The sequence below is a fragment of the Homo sapiens genome, chromosome 16, assembly GCF_000001405.40.
Source record: "Homo sapiens chromosome 16, GRCh38.p14 Primary Assembly".
Classification (NCBI taxonomy): Eukaryota; Metazoa; Chordata; class Mammalia; order Primates; family Hominidae; genus Homo; species Homo sapiens.
The window spans coordinates 13357332-13376775 of record NC_000016.10 but is presented as its reverse complement, the minus strand read 5'-3'; the positions used below and the strand labels follow the sequence as shown (position 1 = coordinate 13376775).

General features: G+C 41.3%; 1 protein-coding gene across 4 annotated transcripts in view, besides 2 other annotated features; it reads right to left on the bottom strand.

Moving 5' to 3' along the window:
* The window catches only part of SHISA9 (shisa family member 9), a 661420-nt gene that overhangs the window by 186242 nt on the left and 455734 nt on the right, over nucleotides 1-19444 (bottom strand). The window lies entirely within an intron of this gene.
* Nucleotides 9037-9538: an enhancer, noted in NCBI's record as "H3K4me1 hESC enhancer chr16:13461095-13461596 (GRCh37/hg19 assembly coordinates)". NCBI's record gives its function as "activates a minimal SCP1, AML or CMV promoter by ChIP-STARR-seq in naive H9 embryonic stem cells {active_cell/tissue: H9 hESC(naive)}" and the evidence as "EXISTENCE:reporter gene assay evidence [ECO:0000049][PMID:30033119]".
* Nucleotides 18425-19371: an enhancer, noted in NCBI's record as "OCT4-NANOG-H3K27ac-H3K4me1 hESC enhancer chr16:13451262-13452208 (GRCh37/hg19 assembly coordinates)". NCBI's record gives its function as "activates a minimal SCP1, AML or CMV promoter by ChIP-STARR-seq in naive and primed H9 embryonic stem cells {active_cell/tissue: H9 hESC(naive and primed)}" and the evidence as "EXISTENCE:reporter gene assay evidence [ECO:0000049][PMID:30033119]".

The window sequence follows — 19444 nt, the reverse complement described above, 5'->3', positions numbered from 1 at the left end:
GCTGCAGTGAGCTGAGTTCATGCCACTGCACTCCAGCCTGGGCAATGGAGTGAGACCCTGTCTCCAAAAAGATAAGAAAGAAAATAAACACCCTATAATTTACAGAATAAGGGATGTTCTTTCAGCTCCACCCCTGGAAACAGAAATTTAATTTTTAACCAATCTAAAATAAAAAAAATCCATGTGTTTGCTCATAGCCATGGTCCTGATTCAATTTTCTGCAACTTTACTTTCTCTTGGACTCTCTGGAAAAAAACAGCTCTGGTTATAGAGGTAAAAGCTGAAATGACTTCAGATACATTAGAGAGGTGAGTGGGCTGACATGGGATTTCCCCACCTGGCTGTAAATGTGCTGAGAAGCATGTAGTCATATAAGTGTGTTGACATCATCTTCACACTTTCTGAAGATTCTTCCAGAGAATCAGTCAGGCTCCAGGAGTGACTAGACCTCCAAATTATTATGCCATGACTCTATCTAAAATATCACCTGAACATATTATAATTGCTCAAAATATTTACTGCCACTCCCTAAGGGAGGATTATACATTTGTGTTCATTGAAACCATGTTTTAGCCATATGACGTGCTTATGCCATTGGAATGTGAACCAAAATGATGTGGAACAATTATGAGCAGAATTTTTCAGAGTCATTGTGTGGTATTTCATTTTCTCTCTTTTTTCTAGGGAACACAATTATCAATGTCCAAGATGGACTTCTTCCATCACCTGGGTACCTGTTTTGATTGCTGTAACTTTTGAAATCAGAAAACGTGAGTTTTCCAATTTTAAGATTTTTTTTTTCCCACTATTTGAAACCCCTTGTATTTTGCTACTTGAAACCCCATATAAATTTTAGGATCAGCCTGCCAAATGCTGCAAAAACGGGAGCTAGGATTTTGATAGGTGTTGGGTTGAATCTTCAGATCTATTTGGAGAGTGTTGCCATTTTAGCAATATTAAGTCTTCTTATCCATGAATACAGGATAGCTTTCCACTTACTTAGGTCTTCTTTAGTTGCTTTCAGTGATGTGTTGTAGTGTTTAGTGTACAAGTCTTAGGCTTCTTTTCTTAATTTCTTAAGTTTTTTGTTTTTTTGTTTTTTGGCTATTGCTAATGGAATTGTTTTCTTAGTTTTCTTTTTGGATGTTTTCTTTTTTCTATTTGAAAGTCACGCTACCTGACTTCAAACTATACTACAAGGCTACAGTAACCAAAACAGCATGGTACTGGTACCAAAACAGAGATATAGACCAATGGAACAGAACAGAGCTCTCAGAAATAATACCACACATCTACAACCACCTGATCTTTGACAAACCTGACAAAAACAAGAAATGGGGAAAGGATTCCCTATTTAATAAATGGTGCTGGGAAAACTGGCTAGCCATATGTAGAAAGCTGAAACCAGATCCCTTCCTTACATCTTATACAAAAATTAATTCAAGATGGATTAAAGACTTAAATGTTAGACCTAAAACCATAAAAACTCTGGAAGAAAACCTAGGCAATACCATTCAGGACATAGGCATGGGAAAGGACTTCATGACTGAAACACCAAAAGCAATGGCAACAGAAGCCACAATTGACAAATGGGATCTAATTAAACTAAAGAGCTTCTGCACAGCAAAAGAAACTACCATCGGAGTGAACAGGCAACCTACAGAATGGGAGAAAATTTTTACAATCTACCCACCTGACAAAGGGCTAATATCCAGAATCTACAAAGAACTTAAACAAATTTACGAGAAAAAATCAAACAACCCCACCCCATCAAAAAGTGGGCAAAGGATATGAACAGACGCTTCTCAAAAGAAGACATTTATGCAGCCAACAGACACATGAAAAAATGCTCATCATCGCTGGCCATCAGAGAAATGCAACTCAAAACCACAATGAGATACCATCTCACACCAGTTAGAATGGCAGTCATTAAAAAGTCAGGAAACAACAGATGCTGGAGAGGATGTGGAGAAATAGGAACACTTCTACACTGTTGGTGGGACTGTAAACTAGTTCAACCATTGTGGAAGACAGTGTGGCGATTCCTCAAGGATCTAGTACTAGAAATACCATTTGACCCAGGCATCCCATTAATAGGCATATACCCAAAGAACTATAAATCATGCTGCTATAAAGACACATGCACACATATGTTTATTGCAGCACTATTCACAATAGCAAAGACTTGGAACCAACCCAAATGTCCATCAATGATAGACTGGATTAAGAAAATGTGGCACATATACACCATGGAATACTATGCAGCCATAAAAAAGGATGAGTTCATGTCCTTTGTAGGGACATGGATGAAGCTAGAAACCATCATTCTGAGCAAACTATTGCAAGGACAGAAAAACAAACACCACATGTTCTCACTCATAGGTGGGAATTGAACAAAGAGGACACTTGGACACAAGGTGGGGAACATCACACACTGGGGTCTGTCATGGATGGAGGGCCAGGGGAGGGATAGCATTAGGAAATATACCTAATGTAAATGACGAGTTAACGGGTGCAGCACACCAACATGGCACATGTATACATATGTAACAAACCTGCACGTTGTGCACATGTACCCTAGAACTTAAAGCATACTAAAAAAAAAAAGAAAAAAAAATACAAAAACAACAAAAAAAAGAAATAAGCCAGGACATTTTGGCCTAATGCTGGCCAACGTGATGAGAGTTACTTGCTCCAGAGCTTATGGCCAAGTTGGCCAAGCTTTGTTGAAACTGCATCATGATTCATGTCTCTGTTCCTCCCCTTTCTTCCCCAAGTGATCATTACCAAACATTTTTCCTTCAACTCCTTCCTTGTCCAGGGGTTAATGCCCAAACTCCATCTCAGCATCTGCTTCCAGGGAACCCAACCTGTGACCATATGAACGTGTTATGAGATCTTATTCTGTGTGGGCCTCTGTGCTAAACACTGCATGTACATTACCTCATTTAATTCACACAACAGCCTTTTGGGGTGGCACTATCGTCACTCCCATCTTTTTTTTTTTTTTTTTTTGAGACGGAGTCTCGCTCTGTCTCCCAGGCTGGAGTGCAGTGGTGCAATCTCGGTCACTGCAACCTCTGCCTCCTGGGTTCAAGCAATTCTCCTGTGTCAGTCTCCTGAGTAGCTAGGACTACAGGCGCCCGCTACCATGCCCGGCTGATTTTTTGTATTTTTAGTAGAGATGGAGTTTCACCATGTTAGCCAGGATGGTCTCGATCTCCTGACCTCATGATCTGCCCGCCTCGGCCTCCCAAAGTGCTGGGATTACAGGCGTGAGCCACCACGCCCAGCCTCATCACTCCCATCTTACGGATGAGCGAGCCAAGGCTCAGAGACAATAATGAGCAGCCCAAAGTCACAGAGTTAACAAGTGGAGATTCCCTCATTGAAGACAGGTAAGAGACAAGATTTGGGCAAGAACACTAGTTTGTTTTTTCTTGTTATTTGTAGATAGAGCATACTACCTCCCAGGCTATACCCAAGTGTTTGCAACAAGGAGCTATGTTTTATGGCGAATCAGCTAATGCTGTATTACTCTTTCAACCTTTGAAACAGTTTGTATCAATTAGGATATGAACTTCCTCATATTGCAGGGTAAGGCATTTTGCTTGGAGTCAGGGGAGCAACTAATAAACCAGTATTTTGCACATAAAAACACCACGAAGTGTAGAAAGGTGGGTTAACCTTTCTACAGTAGTTAGTAGTCGGGATATGTGCTTTCAGTGAGGGTGCTATGGCCTCCAAGGGGGGCAAGAATTGGTTCTGAGGATGAAAAAAACTTACTATTTTATGTTTAAAGCACAGATATGTATCCAATACATTAAATATTTATGAGGTACATACACTAAACAGTATATCTATGTCATTAAAATTTCATATGAAAGGGTCAATTAATAAAAAGTGTTTTAAAGGGCTTCTTAGAGGGATGGTTTAAAAAAAAAAGGTTAAGAAACACTACTCTGGAGTAAGACTGTAGGTCGGTCAATCTCTGCTTCCTTTACGTCCTTTGCAATCTTGCAGCTATTCATTGTGAAGTTAAAATGCAGTAATTCATATAGAGCTTTGCACATCAAAAGAGCTTCTTAAATATTAGTCATGGTTATCATCTTAGGAAATACTTAGTGAATACTGAGAACTGAAATGAATAGCTAACCAGAGCCTGTTTCAAGGGACCAAGGTCTGTGGTCTCAAATGTCTCAAATCTCAGCAATGCGGCCCACATCCCTGCCACTGAAATGGTGCTGCTTGGACATTATATCAGAGTAGGAGTTATGGTGGGCCATGCCATGATCCCTTTTGCTTTAGGGCAAGTTGCAATTAGACCTAAGACTTTGTTCCTGTACCATATTTACTAGGAGGAAGCTATATCACCTGGACTTACCTTAGATAGACTGAATATAAGCCCCATGGGGACAGGGACCTTGTCCCTCTCCATCAGCCTTATTTTCCCATGATCTAGCCCAGCACCCAGCACCTTGTTATTTGTTAAATGAATGGAAAATGTTGGACTTTAATAACTCTGAGGTTTAATAATTCCTTTCTAGTGTAGTGTGCCTACCCACCTGGAGACTTTCAAAGTCTGATTGGGGGATGCAAAATCCCTAGAGTCCACAAAAGGAGGGTACTTCCATGATACTCCCCACCCTAGCACAGACTCTTTAGCAATGGCTAAATATCAATCCGCGGGCAGATATTTATGTAGGAGCTCCAATAAGATCAGTGTTTGAGTTCTAAATGCCTGGAAGAGCTCTGGAGGAACTGAAACAGAGAACAGGTAAGCTTTACAAAGAAGAAGAAAGGCAGGCAAGAGAAATGGGTGGCACGGGTGTTGCCTAGGCAGCTGCTGTGACTCTGGGTGGGTTTGAGAAGTCAAGTTGGAATCCTGGTCTTGATTATCTGAAAGGGGATTTGGGTAGAGTGAAAAGTAGGGGCACCTGACTGAGGATTGAGTCACAGTTTTCCTGAATGCCATCCTGCCTTCCAGGCATGTGTCTAGATAGTAATTGATTCTGTACATCTCCCCGTTGAGCTCACAGTTGGTTCTTAGCATACAGATGTTGAGTGAACTGATGCCAAAATAAGTATTCAGATGTCAGGTGAGGGGAAGGTTCTTCATCATGAAGGGACATCGCTAATCTTACTCTTTTTTCTTTATCCTTAACTTCCTTAGGAGTGTTTCAACCATGTGTGTTCACTTACCATTGAATCAAGGTAGAGCCAAGAGGTACTGTACTATAGCAGTGATTCTTAACCTTGGTTCCTATGGTGGAATCACTCAGTGGCTCCACCCCACATCAAATGAACCACAGCCTCCCCAGGCAACTCTAATGTGCAGCCAGGATCAAGAATCATGAAGCATAGAGATGATGTCGTTTGGAGGATCTCAGACTTCAGGCACATCAGTTTCAGTGGATACCAAGGATCCACCCCTAGACCTATTGCATCAGAATCTATGGGGGTGAGCAGGGACATCTGGATATTAGCAAGTTCCCCAGATACAGAGTAAATGTCTGCAGACTGAATAGTTGTTGAACAGGCAGTGTATCATGGTGGTTATCTGGACTTCCTAGGTTCAAATCCCAACTCTGCTACATAGTAGCTTTGTAGTTTTGGATAAGTTACCTAACACTGCCTCCATTTTCTCCTCTGTATTTTGGGGATTAATTAAATCTACCACGTAGGATTGTAAAGGTTAAATGGTGTTAATTCACTTAGTGGAGTCGACAGAATCAGCAAAGAAAATACAGGAACATACTTAGAGTAAAAAATTATTTGTCGTTTGCTGGAATTCAAATTTATTTGGGTGCCCTTTATTTTTATTTACTAAATCTGGCAGCAACCCTATCACTTAAAGCACTAAGAAAAGTGCCCAGCAAGTGCTCATAAGTGTTTGCTATTATTATTATTATTTCTATTACTTGATTTTTATTGAGTCCACTCCATTCCCAGCCTCTCTTTCAGACTAGAGTCCTTCAGAACCTTACTAATTTGGCTTCTAATATTTAATGCAAACCCATTCAAATAGAGGGTAGTTTAGAGCTTTTCAGCACTAACCAAACACTCCCTCAAAAATAAAATAAAATTATGTTCAAAACAAGATCATAGTGGGAATACTTAAAATAACTAACTGAACAAGACATTTTTATGACCCTTCACATGTTTGGAAAGCTCTCATTTCCGTACAATTAGGATAATTATAAACTGTTTTGTGCTCAGAAGAAGGTCCACTCAGCAATGCCTTCGTAAGTCGGTGCAGGTTAACAGTATCAGCTGAAGAAAACAAACCCTTCTTAACGGAACTTTCTTTAATTTCAAGATAGTGTCAGAAAATTAGTGTTTAAATCCCAGACCTACTGCTAAACAGCTGTGTGTCTTTGGGCCAAGGCATTTCTTGTTCCAGGACCTTTGTTTCCTAATTTTAAAGACCTGGTCCCCATATCATATGATTTCCTTAAGGGCCATTGACTCTACATCCCATTTCCCACTGAGGTTTGTATCTGAGCAGAAAAGGTAACCAGCACAGCATGTAAGGCAACCTGTGTTTGCAAACACAAGTTACGTTGGTCGTTACCAAGCCAGGAGGCGTAAAAACAGACAAAACCCATGGTCGTGGCACCCCGGGAAATACCTTATACCCCACTGAGCTCGACTCGGGCTGCACTTTGGAATCAGCTAGTGAACTCTATGTATTTTATTTTTATTTTTATTTCAATTGCTTTACAGGTACAAATGGTTTTTGGTTGCATGTATGAATTGTATCAACCAATGAGTGGATAAAGAAAATGTGGTATATTTATACCATGGAATACTACTCACCCATAAAAAAGGAACTTTAAATTAGATGCCTAGGCCAGGTCTCCAACCCCAGAGATACTACTGATTCAATTGGTCTGCGGAGGGGTCAGAGAACTTAAGCAACCTGGGTGTTGCTAATATGCACCTGGGGTTAAGAACCACTGACCCGGCTAGCCCCTGTGAGCTCAGTGTTTGTCATTCTTTGACATTCTTCTCAAACTCACCCTACATCCCCCAACATGAGGCTCACAGGATCACCTGTCATGTTGCTCATGATTGATTACTCTTTATTTAATGCATGCGGTTCTGCTCATTATGATGCAGTTGGCACAAAGACGGAGAGCCCCATCAGTGGACACCGAGAAGCGGCAGCAGTTTAGTCTTGGCTGCATCCTCTGCTTCTCTTGCTTGAACAAGGTGTTTACAGCTCACCTTACTTCTGGGGTCCCAAGAAAGTAAACTTTCTGCAGCCTTCCCACACTTATAAACCTAACTTTCCAGGATATGTTCTGCTCAATCCACCAATTTAGCACATATCATTGATTGGATTATTATAAAATGTTATGAACAGACAAAAGAATATAGATTCATTTAATAAACCAGCAAGCAACCACACTCCTATCTCCTAGACTGAACACATGTTAATGTTTTGTTCAGAACTTCCTTTGTAGTGTTCCTAATCTCGTAGCCCTAATGTTCTCCCAGGTGTTGACAACTACTCTGAAATTAGCAAGCACTCATCTTATCCACAATGTTATATCCTTTCTATATACGGAAATAAATGACACAGAATACTATTTTGTACGCTTTCAAAATATGTATGAATGGAATCACACTGAGCACATTATTCTGCAGCTTGCTTTTTTAAATTTGACATTTTAAGATTTATCTAAAGCAAGTATATTCATTTTAACAGTTGTCTAATGTTCCATTATATAAATATTTAACACTATCCATTCTAGTACCTTTTCTTTCACCAACATCACATTTCAAATATTTCCAAACACACAGATTCACATATAAATAATCTTACTAAGGAGTCTCATCCTTACCAGGAAAAAACATTTTATGATATACCACATGTATGCATATTCATTTATACACTGTATACTTACTCCCTGTCAATCATATGCTACATATTAGTAAAATTTAATTTCCTTCTGTATTTTGAAGTCGAAGTAAACATTATTAGTAGCTCTAATATTTTATTTCCATATCCCAGTGGGTTTTTTTTTTTTTGCACATATCTTGCCTTGGAGGTCATTGCTCCAATCAAATGCATTTTATGTATCTATTAATTAGCCTGTTTTTTTCTACCCTCCAAGATAAGAAAATTCACCTCTGATCAATACAGCACACCCCATCATTTTACCATCAGCTGGATACGTCTTTTAAAGGTCTTCTCTCAATCTAAAAACAAGCTCACACTGCATTCTCCACTATCCTCTCTCTTCATTCCTACAAAACCCCCTAACGCAACGAAGCCTCTAAAACCTACATAATCTAATCAGGTTCTTAGTTCCCATTGGCCTTTCTTCTGATTGTTACAAGTCCTGTCCTCTCTTAATTAGCATGTTTTTGAATATAGTAGCGATACTGTGTATATCTGATTTCAGAACATGTAAGGTTAGTCTGTTGAACCCCCGTGGAGAAGTAAGAGACTACCTGTGCTACCAAAATTCCTTGAAATCCCCCTTTTCTCACCTCACTGCCTCAGAAGCACCTCTAGCTCTCCAAGGGTTGAAAAATTCTGGTTACAAAATCATCCCTACAATTTCACCTACTCAGCCTCTCCTCAGATATGGCTATTAGAAATGCCTTTGCAGGTGATCTTGCTCAGTTTTAAGGGCTGGTTGATTGACCTGGTTGAATTAACACTTGAGGCACAGTAGGAAATTGCCAATCTGTGAGGTTTTTTAGAGGAAGCTTAGCATTTAGAGGGAGATATACCTAATGCTAGATGACGAGTTAGTGGGTGCAGTGCACCAGCATGGCACATGTATACATATGTAACTAACCTGCACATTGTGCACATGTACCCTAAAATTTAAAGTATAATAATAATAAATAAAATAAAATTAAAAAATAAAAGAATTATAGCTGATTGCAGCTACTAATGGTGTGGATTTGAATGGGAGCTAGGAGGCTAATGACCTGGAAGACTGTGGAATGCCCAGAAGTAAGTAAGGGTTTGTTAGCACATCCATGTTCTCAGACCAAATTCAGGGGTGTGTGTGTGTGTGTGTGTGTGTGTGTGTGTGTGTGCGCGCGCGCGCGCGCACGCACACGCGTGTACACTTCAGGAAACATCTTCATTCCCCCCCGCATCCTACTTGCTATTTAACCTTGTGTTAGGATTAGGAGTTAAGTTTTCATTACTAATGATGCAGAATTCAATAGAAGCTAGGTAATAAGTCAACAGATTTTGGGTCCAAAATCTTGTTTTCCCACTTAAGAACTTTAAGAATTTGAGCCAATGGCTTAATTTCTCTGGATCCTGGCTTCCTGTTCTGAAAAATAGGGACAATGATAATATTTCCGTCTTTTCACTGTGAGGATTAATTGGGATCATGTCTATAACGTGACTGATACAGGGTAAGAGCTTAATAAATGGTACCCGTGGGTGGCATCTTCCCCTCCTCTGTTTATAGTATCTAGTTTGCCTGAATTTAGACTCCAACATAATGGGGACCACAGAACAAACTCTGCAGGATGTCTGACATTCAATAAGCCCTCAGCATATGGTAGTGGCAAAACGTATAATCCTTGAATGGTTGTTGACAATCATTCTTGGACATTTTATTTAGATGTTCACCCTAGTACTGTAGTTGGTTTAATTACTGAGTTTAAGTTTTGCTAATTGAAACTCCTTGTACTGGTTTGACAAATGATTTTTGAGGTTATTAAGATCTTTGAGGAAGGGCAGGAATTGTACACATATATTAACCCAGATTTTTACAACCTCGATTCTTCTTCTTTTTTTTTTTTTTTTTTTGAGATGGAGCCTCACCCTGTTGCCCATGCTGGAGTGCAGTGGCGAGATCTCAGCTCACTGCAACCTCCACCTCCCGGGTTCAAGTGATTCTCCTGCCTCAGTCTCCTGAGTAGCTAGGATTACAGGCATGTGCCACCATGCCCACCTAATTTTTGTATTTTTAGTAGAGATGGGGTTTCACCATGTTGGCCAGGCTGGTCTCAACTGACCATAAGTGATCGCCCACCTCGGCCTCCCAAAGCGCTGGGATAACAGGCATGAGTCACTGCACTTGGCCTCTTTATTTTATTTTATTTTATTTTTGTAGAGACAGGGTCTCACTATGTTCTCCAGGCTGGTCTCAAACTCCTGGGCTCAAGCAATCCTCTTGCTTCAGCCTCCCAAAGTGCTGGGATTACAGGCATGAGCCTCTGCACCCTGACTAAAACCTGGATTCTTGCTACTCACAGTGTGGTCTAGGTATGGGCAGCATTGATGTCACCTGGGAGCTTGTAACAATGCAGAATCTCAGTATCCCTAGATCTACTGAATCCAAATCTGTGTTTCAACAAGATCCTTAAGTGATCTGTATGCACAATAAAGTTTGAAATATATTTACTAAATATTGACACTGTAAATGAAAACACATTTGCTTGCATTCTTTTTAGATAGCTGTGTCCTCTATTTTCACAGGCTGATTCTGTCTATGCTACAGGCACTACAAGAAAATGAGTAGACCAAAGCCTAAATGTTCCATTAAAGCATTAACCGTTGAGTAATCTGCAAGATCTTTTTAAATGATACAAGCCACTTAAATAAGATGCTGGATATTTTGTCCACAGATCAGTAACTGATGGCAGTTTTGCCATCATTTTACACATGGCCCTTGAATGGTGCATAATTTTCTGGGTCCACAGTGATATAAAAGCACCAGTATTACACCACGTGATGATAACGACTAAGTAGGGGCTCTGTGTATTTCAATTCCAGGCAAACTAGAAGGCTTCAGCAGAGCTTTTATTTTCTATGAGATGAAGTTTCCTTAGGGGAAACTTACTGAGCTATAGAATCATTCCATTCTTGTCCTTAATTTTTTTCAAAGGTTCAAATCCATAGGTCATCCATGAGGTTTCACAGACCTGGGACTCATTTCTGGTTTCCACCTCCACGTCCAACAATTACAACTTGGTGTTCCGAATATGTTTGCAATCCATAAGATGTGAAGATTAGAAGTATACTCTCTGGGGCCAGGCACAGTGGCTCAGGCCTGTAATCCCAGCACTTTGGGAGGCCAAGGCAGGCGGATCACTTGAGGTCAGGAGTTCGAGACCAGCCTGGCCAACATAGTGAAAACCTGTCTCTATAAAAAATATAAAAAAATTAGCCAGGCGTGGTGGTACGTGCCTGTAATCCCAGCTACTCAGAAGGCTGAGGCAGGAGAATAGCTTGAACCCGGGAGGCGGAGGTTGCAGTGAGCCAAGATCCCGCCACTGTTCTACAGCCTAGGTAACAGACTGAGACTCTGTCTCAAAAAAAAAAAAAAAAAAAAGAGGTATACTCTCTGTAGGAGAGTTAAGAGGGATAAGGTATGTTAAATGTTTAGCATGATGCCTGGCACACATCACATGTCCAATAAATGTTAGAGCATGCTACATACAACATGGATTCATCACTACCCTCCTTACATTGTAGGTCCTCCTTGCCAGAGGCAATGCAATGCAGTGGTAAGGAGCACAAGCTTTCCTGGACTTGAAGCCTGGTTCAGTCCCTTATTATGAATGTGACCTTTGGGGACATTTCTTAGCCCTTCCCAGTTTAAATCTCCATGAGGTGATGCTAGGGCCTTCCCCAGTTTGTTTTGAAAGTCTGGAAAATGCATACATATAAAGCATTGAACACAATATAGGTATAGGTACTGAATACCTGCCAGCTATTATTATTACTTTTATTATCATCATCACCACCATCATCATTTTTGGAAGACTTGTGGTGTCCCTAGGTCCTAGGGTATTTGGACTCAGCTTCATAGGCTCTCCTCAATGGAAATGCAAGGTCTTGTAATGTTTCTATCCACTTTCCTCCTTTGTTTTTCCTCATCCCTAATTGTTCATCTTCTCGTTCTTACTGCCTACACAAAGACGGAACCCCTAGCCTGGATGTTACCAGCAACATGCTCAAATAAATGTGCTCTAATCAAGGAAATTAGCTGAACACAGATACTTTTATTATAACTGTCATTCATATTATTCAAGAAGTGATTATCGTCCAGGGAAACCACCCATTCAAAGAGCGCACTTCTTTAGACATAGGGAATCAAGGCTCTTCCAGGGCTTGATCCAAGAATAAATGACATAGCAAACAATCTTGCAGAAGCCTCCTATCATTGAATTTTCTATTTAATAAAAATATTCTCTGGTGTTCACTATAATTGGGCATTGTCTGTTTAATATTGTCTATATGGTATATTGTGTGTTGAATAAAAATACTGAATAGTGTTAATTATATTTGGGTGAAAAGAACCATCTTGCATATTCATTGAAAGACATAAACCACCCAAATCCTGCAAGTTGAGTGAATGCTGAATGCAAAAATATCTCTTGTTGCTTGTTCTAAATTTGCTTCTCTTTATTTTCTCAGGGCATCTCTTGCCTATGATTCAACGTCTTCAGCAGAGACAATTGCTTTTCCTTCCTTCTTGGAGCCTGTGAATATCAGAGACTAGCTCTCCTCCTTCCCCAGATTCTGGTCTATTTCATGTTTTCAGTAAGGACCTAGTGGGCACAGGTGTTTCAGAGAAGCCCAGGCTAGTTCCAAAAGGCAGAGTAAATCTGTCAGTTCAATGCTAAGCCAATGACAATAAAGATGACACATACATTTAAAGAGAAATTCTCAAGCTGGACAGATCATCAGAAACATCTGTGGCTTTTTTGGTTTTGTTTTCTCGTTGTTTCTTAGCTCCATCCCTCAGATCAGTGACCCTCAAACTTGGGTGTAAATCTGGAATCATGTGGAAAGTTTGTTAAAATACAGATTGCTGGGCTCTGTCCCCAGAGTTTCTGATCCAGCAGGTCTGGGAGGGCCTGACAATGTGCATTTATAACAAGTTCTTAGGACATGCTGATATTTCTGGTCTTTGGACTACTCTTCGACTACTTCTTCCCTAGAGACCTTGAATAGTAATCTTCCGTGATTTGAAAATGTGCACGTCTATCATGCATGCTAAGGAACTCAAAAGTTTAAAACCACCAAGCAATGCATGCTTATCCTGAAGCCAGCGCTGTGCTAGGTTCAGCACAGATGATACAGAAAAGGCTGCATCCTGCTTGTCTCTGGAGCTCTACCTTTCATGATCCCATATCCCTGCATTTGTTCCAGTTCTACCAAACCATTTACAGTTCTCCAAATTCAAAGCTCTTCTGCACCTCCACTTCTTTGCACATAGTTTTTCATGTGTCCAGAATACACTTCCCTACTCTTCTGTTTCATCCTGCAAAACCCAGTTCAGCTGCTGACATCCTAATACCATCCTCTCCACCTCCCTATCCTTGCCACCACCACCTAATTTTTAAAAATCCCTTCCATCATTCATGCTTTAATTCCACAAATGTTTACCAGGTTTGCCTTAGGTGCCGGTCATTGTGCCAAGCACCTGGAATAAAACGGCAAACGAAGGAGACTTAGTTCTTCCTCAAGAAAAACCTTTCCTTCAAAGATACTATAGTCCAGAGGGGAAGACATGAAATGAACAACTTCAAGTTGTGATATTAAATTGTTATTTTGCTGAGCCTTACACAAATTTCCATGTTGTGCTTATGATCTAGCATTGAAATAGTTGTTTTCAATGCTTGTTTACCCATATAGACTCTGGTCCCTTGAAGGGCCAAATCCACATTCTCTCATCTCTGTGTACCCAGTGCCTACAGAGAGTAGATCACATGGTCGAGCATTTTCTAGTTTTCTGAGTTCAATGAAACATAGCTCTACTTCCCAAAGGGATAGCAATCTAATACTAACACAAGTGCAGCAGATGTGAAAACCTTAATTATATTATTAGTTGGCATCAGCATTCCTTTTATATGTGGGAACTGTTTTTGTTGAGAGGAATCCCTTGAGAAGTCACTTGGGGATTAAAGAAAATTCTCAGTGCCTGGACTTTGAAAAAAACAAGGCAATGAAAGAGAAAGCTAAATGGCTCTGTATGAGAAGATGAAAAGAACGGGACTTTGCTCCAGGAGTTGGGAGAGAAGAAATACAAGAAATGGAAATAAAATCAGGAATGTGAGAAGTGAAAGAGAGGAAACTACCACCAGGGATATGGGATAAGGCTTAGGGACAAGATGGGATGAAGTGCTTCATAAAATTTCTCTAGACCCAAGATGACCAAAACTTTCTGCATTTTCACTTCCTTGCACATGTCTTACTACATCCAGAATCCTCTTCTCCACTCCCTGCTTCATCCTTCAAAGTCCAGTTCAGATGCCATCTTTCTCAATACTGTCCTCTTCAGCTCCCCCATCTTTGCCATCACCACGTTTTTGTTTTTTTGTTTGTTTGTTTTGTTTTGTTTTTTTGGTCTGAGACAGGGTCTCCCTCTGTTGCCCAGGCTGGAGTGCAGTGGCACAATCACTGCTCACTGCAGCCTCGATCCCCTGGGCTCGAGTCATCCTCAACCTCCCAAGTGGCTGGGACTACAGAAGCACACCACCACGCTGGGCTGGTTTTTGTTTTTTGTGGGGTTTTTTTTGTTGTTGCTGTTGTTGTTGTTTGGTTTTGCTTTTTTTTTTTTTTTGGCTGTCGTTCTTAGTAGAGACAAGGTCTTGCTATGTTGCCCAGGCTGATCTTAAATTCCTGAGCTTAAGCAATCTGCCTGCCTTGGTCTCCCAAAGTGCTGGGATTATAGGCATGAGCCACTGCAGCCAGCCAGGAGCTATTTTTAATCTATATTTTGCAGGTGAGAAAACGAAGGCCTGGAAATGTTAAGTGAATCACTCAAGGTCACATAACTAGTGTGTGATGGCAACGGGGTTTGACTCTAGGTCTCTCTGACTCCAAAGCCCATAATTCTTTACCTCTTTTTAATGACAAAGGATAATGAACAATTACATGTTAATGTAAATGATAATACACATAGTGGAAATAATTAGTTATATGAAGGCTTGTTCATCCAATAAATAATTTCTTTAAGCCTATTGTATGAAACAGACAACACATCATCATGGATAATGGCAAAAGGGAAGAAAATCTCTGAGAAGGAGAGTGGAGATGATGGCATGGGAAGGAACAACCATCAGGGTGCAATGCCTTTGAAGACGTGCAGGTGGAACAGCACATGAGTGGAAGAACATGAGCTCTGTAATTAGGAAAAAGATTCATGTTTTAGTCCCCATGAACTCACTCAAACAACCTTGGGCAAGTTCCTTGACCTCTCTTCACCTGCATTTTGTCATCTACAAATGGGGATAAAAATAGTACCATTTTATAAAAGGCATCATTTCTGTAGGGATATAAATGAGATGAAGCTTGTAAAGCTCATAAAATGCTCAGCACACAGCAGATACCCAATGAAGGTTAATAGAGAAAGAAGTGGACAAAATCAAGAAACATTTGGGATTTGGTGATTGATCAGGAGATAAGAGGAGGATGCATCCAGGTTTCCGGCTTAAGCAACTGAAAGGATGGTGGTGTCATTAATTGAAATGGATGACGCTGATGGAGAACCAGGTTTATTCAAGACAAAATAAAAGCGTTAGCTCTAGAGAGCGAGCAACCCCATTCCCCTAAAAATAAAAGGAAGAGAAAGATGGACAGAGAGATAGAGAAGAAAAGAAGATGGTGTACCTTCTTAATCTTGAGGAAGAAATTAAATCATCCATGAGTATGGGAAATGAAGGAAAAAGTGTGAGTACTAGAAAGGTGAAGAATATTTAACAGAGCTTGAGTGTCTATTTGAATCTCTCCAAAAGAGAACCTAAGACAAGGAGTTTGGTGCAGGTATTTTATTTGAGAGGTTATCTCCAAAAGTTGGAATGAGGAGTAGAGCAAGTGAGAAGGGGAAGGATGAAAAGCTGGTGAAGGGGACATTATGGAGCTTGTTACTACTATGGGCAACCAGAGATCATCTTACCAGGAGCCCTCTGAGGAACTGTGTAGAATGCACCTCAGAATATTCCCTGAGAAGGCCGGGAGGCTGAAGCATTTATCCACTGACTCCCATCACCCACTGGTTGCAGGTTGTCCTGTTGGTGTAAATTCCCTAAGCTCCTCGGCTCCACCTATGCGAGGCTTGACTGAGCTGCCACCATTTTGATAAAAGCCCTGTATTAGTCTGTTCTCACACTGCTAATAAAGACATACCCGAGACTGGGTAATTTATAAAGGAAAGAGGTTTAATTGACTGACAATTCAGCATGGCTAGGGAGACCTCAATCATGGCGGAAGGGGAAGCAAACACATCCTTCTTTGCATGGTGGCAGGAAGAAGAACGAGAGCCAAGTGAAGGGGGAAGCCCATTATAAAAACATCAGATCTCATGAGAACTTACTATCATGAGAAGAGCATGGGGGAAACCGCCCCCATGATTCAATTGCCTCCCACTGGGTCCCTCCCAGTATCTGTAGGGATTATGAGAACTACAATTCAAGATGAGATTTGGGTGGTGACATAGCCAAACCATATCAAGCCCTGAGACAGGAAAGTGGAGAAACACAGTGGGGAACTGAAGTGGGACACCGTCAGTGAGCATCAGCTGCAGCAAAATTTAGAGGTGAGCTGAGGGTGCAGGACAGTTCTCTGAGTGGTCTTGCACTAACTCATTTCTCCCTCTTTCTCACTTGTAGTTCTCTTAAGTAACTGTAGAATATGCAAAGAATGCAACATCCTGAGATAGAGAGGAACTGGATGTAACAGCCCAGGCTCTGTTCCAGTCCCCAGAACCGGATGTCCTTCCACGCTTTAGCCCAGCAAGTCAAGTTCCCCAAGGTACAGAACTCAGGTGGACGGCTTTCCATAGTCCCTCAGCTGTGATGCAAGTGGGGCATGCACAGATGAAACTCTATCCACCCTGGGCAGCTTTCTTGAGTCTTGGGGGACCAGCTCAACATGAATCCTAGGCTTCTAGCATCCTTTGCTGCCTATCTGCAAATAATGAATTCACTTTATCTAACTTGATGTGTGTGGGTGTTCTGTGTCACCACACTCAGGCAAGTTGGTAACCCGTGCACAGTGAACCTGCTTCACACAAGGAAAGTGACACTGGCACCAACCGCATCTGCTAGAAAAAAGAAGTGACCCATAAACTTCAGATCTTACAAAAATCCTTAAATGTATAAATACCTCTAGTGGTATTTGACATATGAGAACCTGAGTCTCAGAGAGGTAAAAGTATGGTGATAAATTGGAGTTTTCACCCATATTGGATAGAATTCTAAACTTACACAACTTTCCCACCTACCATGCTGCCAGTTCTGAGCAAAAAATAAATAAATAAAATAAAAATTATTATTGCTATTTATTTATTTTTCTGAGATGGAGTCTCACTCTGTCACCTAGGCAGGAATGCCATGGCATGATCTCTGCTCTCTGCAACCTCTGCCTCCCAGGCTGAAGCAATTCTCCTGCCTCAGCCTCCCGGGTACCTGGGATTACAGGTGCCCACCACCACACCCAGCTATTTTTTTAGTATTTTTAGTAGAGACAGGGTTTCACCATGATAGCCAAGCTGGTTTTGAACTCCTGACCTCAAATGATCCACCCCGCCTTGACCTCCCCCCAAAAAATATTACAGTGAAAATGGCAACAGTATTAACAAGTTGATTCTCCTCAGTACTAATTATTGGAATTTTGAAGATTTATTGTTTTGCAGACTAGGATCTAAAACTGGACATTCTTCTGGAGAATCTAAAACTGGACATTCTTCTTCAGTTGAAGTCCAACGGATGGGAATTGCATTTCTCATCCTAATCAAGAAATTCTTTACCTTCAGGAATACAGAGCTATTAAAGTTCTAGGCTTCATGCCTCTGAGGAGGTATTCCAAAAATTCCATCAGTAATCTGCTAAGTTCAGTACCATACACAGTGTATTGAGGTCTTTTCCTGTATTCCTCATTCCAGCAGGTCCTTCTAACACTATTTGGTCCTAAAAACACCCTGTCTTCTAGGCCTGTCAATCATATCATGTTCATCTTTTTATGGCTCTGCTGAAAACAGCCAAGAGAAAGGTTATTACAGCTGCTGTTGATGTCTGGAACTCATAACTGTCAACAGTCTTATGTTGGTCAGGTATAAGGCAGAGAGGGGTTCCCATCTTTCTCTATCTGGAGGCCTTTCACTGGTTGGTTGAAGCACTTACAATTATGCTGAATGTATTGGTGAAAATTCTGAAAAGAGAATACTCTCTTACGGTTTTTGGGTCCTGAAGAATGTAAAGGAAAGGGAAGGAAATGGGAAGAGATAGAGGAATTGTATTAGCATCTACTTATGCCAGCAACATCCTCACGGAATATTTTATGTAATCCCCTTAGGTTGGTAACAGATTAGGTAGCTGATCTAAGAAAATGAGAGAGAACACGTGGACACAGCGAAGGGAACATCACACAGCACAGCCTGTTGGGGGGTGGGGGACAAAGGGAGGGACAGCATTAGAAGAGAGACTTTTTAAAGTCCAAAATCCCAAGCTTTTAAAACCAGGATTTGAATACAGGTATCTCACTCAAAACCCAGATGTCAAATATAGCACCTCATGCTCCCAGGTAGACATCACTAATCAATCAGGTCTTTTAGTCCATTGATTTCAGAATCCTTCTCACCCCAGTATCCCAGATAGTCACTACCAATCATAGCTAGTAGTGAGGGCCAATTGCTACCCTTTCCACTTGCTAAAACTTGCTGGATGAAGGAAGATTCTCTCTTTTCAAGGGAGGCCGTACCCATCACAGAGGCATACTGTCAGGCCTCTAAGCCCAAGCCAAGCCATCACATCCCCTGTGACCTGCACGTATATATATCGCCCAGATGGCCTGAAGTAACTAAAGAATCACAAAAGAAGTGAATATGCCCTGCCCCACCTTAACTGATGACATTCCACCACAAAAGAAGTGTAAATGGCCGGTCATTGCCTTAACTGATGACATTACCTTGTGAAAGTCCTTTTCCTGGCTCATCCTGGCTCAAAAAGCACCCCCACTGAGCACCTTGCGACCCCCACTCCTGCCCACTGAGCACCTTGCGACCCCCACTCCTACCCGCCAGAGAACAAACCCCCTTTGACTGTAATTTTCCTTTACCTATCCAAATCCTATAAAACGGCCCCACCCTATGTCCCTTCGCTGACTCTCTTTTTGGACTCAGCCCGCCTGCACCCAGGTGAAATAAACAGCCATGTTGCTCACACAAAGCCTGTTTGGTGGTCTCTTCACACGGACGCGCATGAAATTTGGTGCTGTGACTCGGATCGGGGGACCTCCCTTAGGAGACCAATCCCCTGTCCTCCTGCTCTTTGCTCCGTGACAAAGATCCACCTACGACCTCAAGTCCTCAGACCCACCAGCCCAAGAAACATCTCACCAATTTCAAATCCGGTAAGCGGCCTCTTTTTACTCTCTTCTCCAACCTCCCTCACTATCCCTCAACCTCTTTCTCCTTTCAATCTTAGCGCCACACTTCAATCTCTCCCT